The sequence below is a fragment of the Homo sapiens genome, chromosome 12, assembly GCF_000001405.40.
Source record: "Homo sapiens chromosome 12, GRCh38.p14 Primary Assembly".
NCBI lineage: Eukaryota > Metazoa > Chordata > Mammalia > Primates > Hominidae > Homo > Homo sapiens.
In genome coordinates this window covers 74,930,850-74,941,732 of record NC_000012.12, presented here as the reverse complement: position 1 = coordinate 74,941,732, position 10,883 = coordinate 74,930,850, and the positions used below count along the sequence as shown (strand labels likewise).

General features: G+C 33.6%; 1 long non-coding RNA gene across 1 annotated transcript in view; it reads right to left on the bottom strand.

The window, feature by feature from the left end:
- Window positions 1-7,351: 7,351 nt before the first annotated feature.
- The window catches only part of LOC105369842 (uncharacterized), an 86,958-nt gene continuing 83,426 nt past the window's right edge, over window positions 7,352-10,883 (bottom strand). The window contains exon 6 of the long non-coding RNA XR_001749205.2: window positions 7,352-7,517. This is a non-coding gene — a long non-coding RNA (uncharacterized LOC105369842). The remainder of the gene's footprint in view (window positions 7,518-10,883) is intronic.

Sequence of the window (10,883 nt, the reverse complement as noted above, 5' to 3'; positions counted from 1 at the left end):
TTTCTACGATAAGCTGTGTGGCTATTTCCAGGGCAGTGTACAGAGATTTTTGTGAAGAAAAACTAAAATTTTCTATATTACTAGGTGAAGGATGCACTAAATATTTGTGTGTTTTATATAAATAAGGTTGTCATGTAAATTATAACATTTTTGTTTTATGTAAAGTGTTTATAGAAATGATGTTTAAATGCAATAATACATCCAAATTATAGAGGGAGAGCTCTAAAATAGTAGATAGTCTGATTTTAAAGTGTTAAAACAGTTAAGACTGATGAGCAGTGTTTCATATTCATTACACCTTAAAATGTTAGCATTAATATTTCTAGAAATATTAGATGTGATTTTTCATAGCAGAAACAGTATTTTCTTAAGATACATATTATTCTATATCAAGGATGACCAAAGTCCCGGTTTGTGTGGGACTGAGGTTTGTTTGTTTTGTTTTGTTTTTAAAGACGTAGCACTGTCAAGGATAGAATAGGAATTGTCTGGGGCAAACTGGGTGGTTGGTTATCATCTATATAGTGAGGATAAAAGACTGTAGGCAAGTTAAAAATCAAAAACAGTGAAAGCTATCAAGATGATAAGGCACACAAGCAAAGATGGGCTGCTAGCCTGTCCAAGAAATTATTTCCTGGAGAGTTGTGTTACCTAGATTTTCACAGAGGGTCCAAGACAACAGGCCAAGGGATGATACTGTACTTAGAAGTACAACCTTTTCTACTTAGCATCTGACACTTGTGATAAATTAAATACTGTTAAGATATTTTAGTTTCTTTTAATCTAATGCTGAAACCAACACATTCAAACTTGAAATAATAAAAATTACTTTTCCCCAGGGACTCTTAGAAAACAAATTAGAACAGAAAAAATAAATCTGTCTCTATTCGCAGACTGTGTGATTGCATACTTAGAAAAATGACAAAGTATTTGCAAAAGAAGTTCCTAGAATTAGTAAGTGAGTTTAGCATGGTTACAGGATGGAAGTTCAATTTACAGAAATCAATTGTATATCTACATACTAGCAATGAACATTTGGAATTTAAAATTAAAAACAAATAATAATAACATTTACAGTGATATCAGAAGGTGAAATGCTGAAATACATATTGAATAAGATATGTACAGAATCTGTATGGCAAAAAATGTAAAACACCTAAGAAAGAAATCAAAGACAACCCAAATAAATGGAAAGAAATGTGTTCATGAATTGGGAGACTCACTTTTGTTCTTTCTATCCTGACCTATAGATTCAAAGCAAACATAATAAAAATCCCTGAAGGATATTTTTAAAGTATAGACAAATTGATTTTTAAAATTTGGATGTAGAAAGACGATGCATATGTTTGACAGAAACAGTTGCATTTATTTTATACTAATTTTTTACAGAGTATAGTATTCAAACACACAATTTACCGAGTAAAATCAGTTTTACAGATAGAATGTAACAAGTCAATACTATTGTAACTGATACCCAAATCAATACACTGAGTGTTGCCAGTACCGCAGAATTATCTGTCATAAATAGTTCCCATATATGCCTGGTTTTACTTCAGGGTCTTCTGTTTTGACCCTTTGGCCTACTTTCCGTCCCAATGCCATAGGATGGTAACCACTAGAGCTTAATATTAAGTCTTGCTATCTGGTAAAACTTTCCCACTTTGTTAAAATCATCTTCTATGATACCTTGGATTCTGTCAGATGCTCCTGCCTCCTGGGCACTGAGATGCTTGTTCCAACCTGACTCCAAAGCAGCAGACGGACCCTGTGAGGGGCAGCCACATTTTTCACTTAGGTCAACACCTGGAGTCCCTGGCTTCTCCCACTATTTTCTATTTTGGTGTGAGCACTGTGTGGCAAGATATGAGGTGAGACTTTCCCACCAGCTGCCAAAGGGGCCAGGCTAATTTCTCATAACACCAAACTTGATCAATAGCACATCAGAGATGGGAGGCAGCTGATAAAGTCTTTCTCCATTGCGATCGTGCATGGACTTCTGAGGTGTAGTGTTTCTGTACAACCTCTACAAACGTCCTGTGTGGCCAAGTGACCGTCTCCTTGTGAAGAAGCAGCCATCTTGTGAATGCATCATAATATATTTGCTTCCCATTTATATTTTGGCTTCAAATCTTTATTTCCTTATTTTTTCCCCTGAAAATAACACTCACAATTAAGCATTAGCAATTAAGTTTCCTCTTCAGATTCTCTTTTTCTATGGGACTTTGAGTGGGACTACTATCTAGGCTATGCTATCTAGGCCATTTTGTCCTTTGTATTCCTTATAAATGTATAAATCCTCACCCCCACCAACCCTCCGCATTTCACAGATTCTGTGGTTATAAAGCAATTTGAAAAAAAAGTCACATCACATTAAATATGGAATACTTTAATTCATTGACATAGCATAATTCTCCATTTATTCATATCTTCTATGTGTACAAAGTATACATATTTTAATGTAAATGTTTCGTTATTTCTAGATACATGATATTTTTCTGCTATCTTAAATGGTGATTTTCCTTTTATTTCTAAATCATTGAGCCAGTTAAGTTTTAGATATTAATGTAAAATCTTGCATACTTGATAAGGTATGCATGTGTGCATGTATGCACATATATCTTCTTTTGAAATGCTACTTATACAATTGCAGAACTTTTTATTTCTTGTCAATCATTTTTTGTGTATTAGACAATCTCAGTTCTTCAGTATTAAATAGAAATAGTAAAAGCAAGAATACTTGACTCATATTAACTCTAAGGAAGAAAATAATCAGACATTTAGTTTTTATTTTCACTGTAAGATTTTGTACATGCCTTTACCATGTTGAGAAAGTTACATGACATTTCCAGTTTATCAAGAAATTGTATTATGAATGGATTATGAATTTTGCTATATAACTTTTCAACAAGATATTTTTCTCATTAATTTGTTAATGCAACACATCTTATTTATTGAATGTAGAACACAATACCAACTTCAAATTTCTGTGATAATCACAACTGAACATATATAACATATTTGCATACACTGCTGCATTTGCTTTACTTATATTTTATTTAAGCTTTATGGGGTAATACTGGCATATGATTTTCTTTTCTTATATTGTTCTTATCAGGTTTTGATTAAGATTAGGTTGAGTTCCTATAGTAAATTACAAAATCTTTGCAATTTTCTTTTTCTCTGACATTTTAACATATTGTGAAAAACATTTATTCTTTGAAAGTTTAATAGAACTTACTGATAAAACCATCTGGCCAGGAAGTTCATTTGTGAATTGTTTTGTTTATTTGTTTGGTTATACATAATCAAATCCTTAAATGGTTCTAGAATTATTAAGGCTTTTTATTTCTATTTGTGTCAGTTTTGTATATACCGTGTGTATTTCTATGTCACCTATCTCATTTCAATTTTATAATTTTTTGACAAAATTAATGTAAATGTTTTGTAATGTAAATCTGAAAATTAGTGTACTTAAATGTCAGTCTAAGAAAACTGGCACAGTAAATCTGGAGAATGTTAAAGTCAGAATATCATAGAAATAAATATTAATAAAATAAAAAATATATAATAAAATGTTTAAAAATAAATTTCCTGAAATTTGTAATTAAAATGAGAAATTTCTGGCATAAGTGAGTAGTACAAACGTGAGAGAAGTTTCAAGTAACCAAAGTCAGAATAGACAAAGGAGACATTGCTGGACAATCTTGTTAGACAAACTTCCAACCTTGCTCTGATTTTTTTCAGCCTTATCTACCACAACTTTCTTTAATGTTCCATCTGCTCTAAACTGAACTCTTCACTATTACACCCTATTTGCCCAGTTTTTCACTCTTTATTCCACATGAAGTATTCTCCCTTAATATCTATAGGTAGTAATCTTATAGTTCTCAGGTGCCAGTTAACATCATTCTAATGTCTCATAGATTTCCCTGTCCTCTCCAATCAGAAGAGTTTTTCTTCCATTCAACTTCTAGGCACTGCGTGTACAACTCAATTTCACCCTTACATTACCTTTATTGGAGTACATGTCATTCCTACTCTCCTAGAGAACATGCATATTTTAAATTACAATGTTTTCTAATCTTTTTGGTTTTCCACCATGCTTGACCAGTTGCCTGGCATGTAATCAGTATAGTAGACATGTAGAAGGATTGATTGAATAAATGAATGAATTAATAAATAAGTGCATGAACCAGTTGGCATAGACTGATGCCACATTGTCATTGGCTGATTGGAAATTGGCATTCATTCAATGAGACACTCTAAATTTCTTGCACAACAAAGTGTCATGCTTCTTATAGGAGATAGTGATTGATCCTATTAGATTGAAACAGCACCTGTTTCTCTTCTAATGTATTTTCAGTGCATATCAAGCATGTTTGATAATGCAGGCTTTAATTGTTCTAAATTGGCTTGAGTCTACTGAAATAATAAATGAGGCAATTTTGTCTTCAAAGACAATGGACTTTAATGAGAATATTTCTGTATCTGGCAATTTGCGGTCATAATTTATTTATAGCAGGGCTTATGATTCATCATTTTAATTTCTTTCAAATTTGTAAGAAAAATCATCTCTACGAGCACAAGTGTCTTATTCTGGCAGCTGTTCTTCACTAGCTGATATTTTCTGCAAACCCTAAACTTAGCATTAGCAGTTTTCAGCTTAATTTTTCTTTGTTTACATTTGGAGTATTTCCACCATATAAAAACAGTCTCATTGTAAAAATGCAAGGAAGAAATATATGCATCTGCAACACAGCCTGTTAGCAAACTCTAGTCTTCTCTGATCCCAGGTGAGCATGTTGGTAGCAGGAATAATCCCTTTCCCCTGGTGAGCATCTATAAAAAGAATCTGGATCAAATTATTTTCTTTGCTAAAATGCTCACTGTACCCACAGGGTTTCTTTAGAAACATTTGCTTTGTGAAGATTTAGCCATTTCCCAAAGCTTCTACAGAATGACATTTATTGTTTATTGTATTTTCAAGGAATTGTAACCTATAGTTGCTGAGGAAAAAAATGGGTTGATATTATTGCAGCACTATGGTGGTATTTTAACCAATTTCAATCTCTGTTTATTGCTTTCATTCTATCTGTGTTCATATTATGACAGATCTAACAGGTATCTGTAAGGCAATTCAGGGGCTGGGGAATACTTAGATAATGTCTGAGTACCTGAGACTTTATAGCTGAATACAAAATTAGCTGGGGTATAATAAAAGGCCCTGACATGAAAGAAGTAACTAGAGGAAGAGGATAGCTGCCCAACTTGCTCTTGCTTCTTCTAAAAATATTTGTTTAAATTGTTGTCCAGTATATTCAGGTCATAGGAAATACGAACACTTTTACACTGTTGGTGAGACTGTAAACTAGTTCAACCATTGTGGAAGTCAGTGTGGCAATTCCTCAGGGATCTAGAACTAGAAATACCATTTGACCCAGCAATCCCATTACTGGGTATATACCTAAAGGATTATAAATCATGCTGCTATAAAGTCACATGCACACGTATGTTTATTGCGGCACTATTCACAATACCAAAGACTTGGAACCAACCCAAATGTCCAACAATGATAGACCGGATTAAGAAAATGTGGCACATATACACCATGGAATACTATGCAGCCATAAAAAAGGATGAGTTCATGTCCTTTGTAGGGACATGGTTGAAGCTGGAAACCATCATTCTTGGCAAACTATCACAAGGACAGAAAACCAAACATCACATGTTCTCACTCATAGGTGGGAATTGAACAATGAGAACACATGGACACAGGAAGGGGAACATCACACACCGGGGCCTATTGTGGGGTGGGGGGAGGGGGGAGGGATAGCATTAGGAGATATACCTAATGTTAAATGAAGAGTTAATGGGTGCAGCACACCAACATGGCACATGTATACATATGTAACAAACCTGCACGTTGTGCACATGTACCCTAAAACTTAAAGTATAATAAAAAAAAACTCAATATAAAATATAGGTTACTTAATTTTAGATTTTTTGCTATTATTTTTTCTTCATTTGTATTACGTAGTTATGATTACACATTTGTTTTCATTTTGCTTTTTTTACTTAACATGACAACGTAAGTCATTTCCATATTAATATAATCACTAATATAATAATTTCGTAGGATTTTATTTCTGAACGTTCCATTCAGAAATGTTCCTACAGTCAGATTACCCATTTCTCTAATAAATAGTGAAGATTTAGTTTTGTCACTGTTAGGGTTACCGTGATTAAAAAATATGAGAATAAACATCAAAAAAAAACCATAGTAAGTCTCATAACAATTTGTTTTAACATTAATTATTTATATGGCCACACTTATATTTCTCATTTTTATAAATGCTAAATAGAAAAGTCAGGACTTTCCTGAAGAGTCAACTAGCATCAGGCACCGTGTAACGCAGTGCGATGTGGAGGATACACAAAACCAGTGCTGAGAAGAGACATTCCAAACCGAAGATATAGAAATGAGTATTTCAGTCTCAGATTAGAATAAGTAAACAAACACATACACACTGAAACATGGGACCTGAAGCACCCATGATTTGTGTGAGTGTGTATCTGCCTGGCCACAAACAAAAGATACATATACTTTGTCCTTTGAGATAATGTCCTTCATAGTTAGACAACCTACAGTAGTGAAAATTAAGTGTACTTTCAAGTTGGGCAGATTTTTCATTGCAGATCTTCCTAGTGTTGGCAAATTGCTTTACCTCCCTGAACCTCAGTTTTTTCTTTTTAAAATGGAGTTAATAAAACCTATGCCATAAAGCCACTGAAAGGATTCATTAAAATGCCATATATAAAGTGCTGGACATATGGAAGACATTTAGTAATATTAGCTCCATCTTACAACCATAATGGTTGAATTTCTCATGCAAAAATATATAACTAATTTGTACTGAGAAATGCCTGAATATCGGATATTTGCAGTCATCAAAATGGCATATTTCGAGCTGTTAAGTTTTAGGACTGTAGCACCATTATACTATGGTTCTTCTTTGCAGAAATTATTTTGGATTGTTTCTTGTCTAAATCCTCGGTTTAAATGATCCATTGCCGCTGAAAACCTGGTTTCATTATTTACTTTCAACTTCTTGACTCTAGCCTTTCCTTCCTTCCTTCCTCCCTCCCTCCCTCCCTCTCTCCCTCCTTCCTTCCTTCCTTCCTTCTTGTGTTCATTCTTTTCAGCATCTCACTCTGTCGCCAAGGCTGGAGTGTAGTGGCATGATCAATCATGGCTCCCTGCAACCTTTGCCTCCCAGGCCCAAGCAATCCTCCTGCCTTGGCCTTCCAAATTGCGGAATTACAGGTGTAAGCTACCATGCCCAGCCTTGACTCTGTTTTTAAAATTCAACTTTACATTAGGTTCTAAATTTGCAATATGATAATGATGTTCTTACCTTTTCACTGGCTCTTTGGTGAGATATACCTTTTTGACTCTCCTCACTACCAGAACTTAAAGATCCCTGGAGTCCTTGATTCTTTAAGGTTAAGACATATTTCTATAATCAGAAATGGCAAATTGTACACTTGGTGGTAGACAGCAGCCTAGGATTTTATTTGAAGATCATAATATTTTCATATTCAAGTTATCATTATGTTACAAACAATTGAAAGTCAATGATTGGGTGGGTATTAGGATGGAAGAAGTAAAAGACACATGATGCTTTAATGGAAATAATGTTCTAGTTAATCAGGTAAAATTTTCACAGACTTTTGAAACAAGGTATAAATTCCTCAGTACCAAATCTGTAGCCAGTCATGGAGAGAGTAGGGCCTAAGGAATGGTAGAGGAAATGTAAGCATCAACATTTGTGTGTGGGAAGCATGCAGGGGAATGGAGTAAATTGTGAGCAAGTGAAACATGATGACATGCTGTGAAGTCAAAGTGAAAATGGTCATTGCTAATGTTAGGGAAAAAAATAACTCAGCTCCGAAATTCTTTAAGATAGGCTCTTTGACATCTACAATTTGCTAGGATATTTGGAAATGGATTACCACCACAAACTGTTACATTTTCAGCTTTAAAAAAATCATCAAACAACTGTTAAAAATAGACAGTGTCACACTGCTCTTTCTGGGGTGAAAGTTAAGATAATACAAAGATGGCATAAGAGATAAATGCCATTGATATCTATGCAAATTACAGTATTTTTTAAAAAATGACCAACGTGATGCAGCATGGAACAGGTTATATTAAAATAACTTTACACCTGAACATCCAGTTTTTTCAACATCATTTGTTTGAAGAGACTATATTTTCCCTATTGTGTGCTCTTGACATCCTTGCTGAACACCTGTTGACCATACATTCATAGGTTTATTTATGGGCTTTCTATTCTGTTCTATTGGTCTGCATGTTCATGTCTATGCCAATACCATATGGTGTTAATTACTGAAGTTCATAATATGTTTTTGAAATTTGGAAGTTTGATGCCTTCCAGCTTTTCTCTTCTTTCTTTAGATTACTTTGTCCATTAGAGGTTTATTTGTGGTTCCATATAAATTTAAGGACTGTTGTCTTTCATTTCTGTAAAATATGCCATGGGATTTTTATAGGAATTGCACTGAATCTATGGATAGCTTTGAGTAGTATGATAATTTTAATATTAATTGTTCCAAACCATAAACACAGGTTGCCTTTCTATTTGTATGTATCTTGAAGTCTTTCACCAATGTTTTATAGTCTTCTGTGTAAAAGTTTTTTACCTTCTTGAGTTAGTTCATTTCTAAATATTTTATTATATTCAATGTTATGGTAAATTGGATTGTTTCTTAATTTGCTTTTCAGATAGTTCATTATTAGTATGTAAAAACACAACTAATATTTTCATGTTGATTTTGTATCTTGCAACTTTATTGAATTTGTTTATCAATTCTACAGTTTCTGTTTGTATGTGAGAATTATTTAGGATTTTTTAATATAAGATTATGTCATCTGCAAACTGAGATAATTTTACTTCTTCCTTTCTGATTTGGAATCTTTATATTTCTTTTTCTTTGCCGAATTTCTCCAACTAGGACTTCTAGTAGTATGTTGGATAGAAGTAGTAAAATAGGAGTCATTGCCTTATTCCTTATATTAGAAGAAAAGTTTTCAGGTTTTCACCATTGAGTATAAAGGCCACTTATGAAAAATCCAGCATATTTTCATGATAAAAACTCTTAATAAACAAGAATAGAAAAAAGAATAAAAACTCTCAATAAGCAAGAATTTCCCACAGGTAAATTCCTTCTATTCTTATTTATTGAGAGTTTTTATCATTAAACTATGTTGGATTTTGTCAAATGCTTTTTCTGCATCTATTGAGAAGATCATGTGATTTTTATCCTTCACTTTGCTAAGGTAGTATATCACATTAATTGATTTACATATGTTGAACCATGCTGAGGGATAAATCTCACTTGATTATAGTGTATTATCCACTCTGCAGCAAATGGTGCTGGAAAAACTGGATACCACATGCAAAAGAATGAAATTGTACCCTTACTTTACATGGTACACACAACACACACACATACAAAGTGAAAATAGATGAAAGATTTAAAAGACCTGAAAGTATAAACTCCTAGAATAAAACATAGGGGAAAAGCCTCATGACATTTGTTTTGGTAGTGATTTATTGAATATGACATCAAAGGCACAAGCAACAAAAGCGAAAATAGACAAATGGGATTACATAAACCAAAAAAACTACTCCACGGCAAATAAAATAATCAACCAAGAAAAGTGATAATCTAAGAATTCAGAGAATAGATTGGAAATCATACATCTGGTAAGGGGTTAATAACCAAAATATATAAGGAACTCAAACACTTCAATAGCAAATAAACAAATAACCTGGTTAAAAAATGGGAAAAAACATAAATAGGAATCTCCAAAGAGGACATACGCATGGACAACAGTATATAGAAAAACATTCCAAATCACGAATCGTCAAGGAAATGCAAATCAAAACTACAATGAGGTATCACCTTATTATACCTGTTAGAATAGCTATTATCAAAAAGACAAAAGATATGTGCTAACAACAATGTGACGAAATTAGAACGCTATTACACTATTGGTGGAAATGTAAAAGTGTTTCAGCCATTATGAAAAATAGCCTGGTGGTTCCTCCAATAGTTAAAAATAGAAGTAGCATGTGATTCAGCAATTCTACTTCTGAGTATATATCCAAAGGAAATGAAATCACTATCTCAAAGAAATATTGGTGCTCCTGTGTTCTTTGCACACTGTTTACAATAGTCAAGATATGGTTATAAACTAAATGCTCATTGACAAATGAATGGGTAAAGAAAATGTGGTATAACATACAATAAAATATTATTCAGCTTTAAAAACGAAGGAAATCCTGCCATGCACAACAAGAAGGATGAACCTGGAAGACGTTATGCTAAGTGGAATAAGCCAGTTACAGAATAACAAACCTACAGGATTCCACTTCCATGAGGTATCTAAAATAGTCAAACTCACAGAAACAGGAAGTTAGAATGATGGTTACCAGGGTCTGGGCACAAGGGGAAATGAGGAGTGAGGAGCTGATGTTCAATGGGTGTAAACTTTCAGTTATCCAAGGTGAATAAGTTCTAGAGATATGTTGTGCAACATTGTGCCTTTAGTTAACAATATTGTATTCAGTGCTTAAACATTTGTTAAGAGGGTAGATCTTGGCTGGGTGTGAAAACTCACTCATATAATCTCATCACTTTGGGAGACCGAGGCGGGAAGATTGCTTGAGCCCAGGAGTTCGAGCCTAGCCGGGGCACCATGGTGAAAAACTGTCTCAACAAAAAATAAAAATAAATAAAATAAATAAATTATCTGGGCATGGTGCTGTGTGCCTATGGTCTCAGCTACTTAGTAG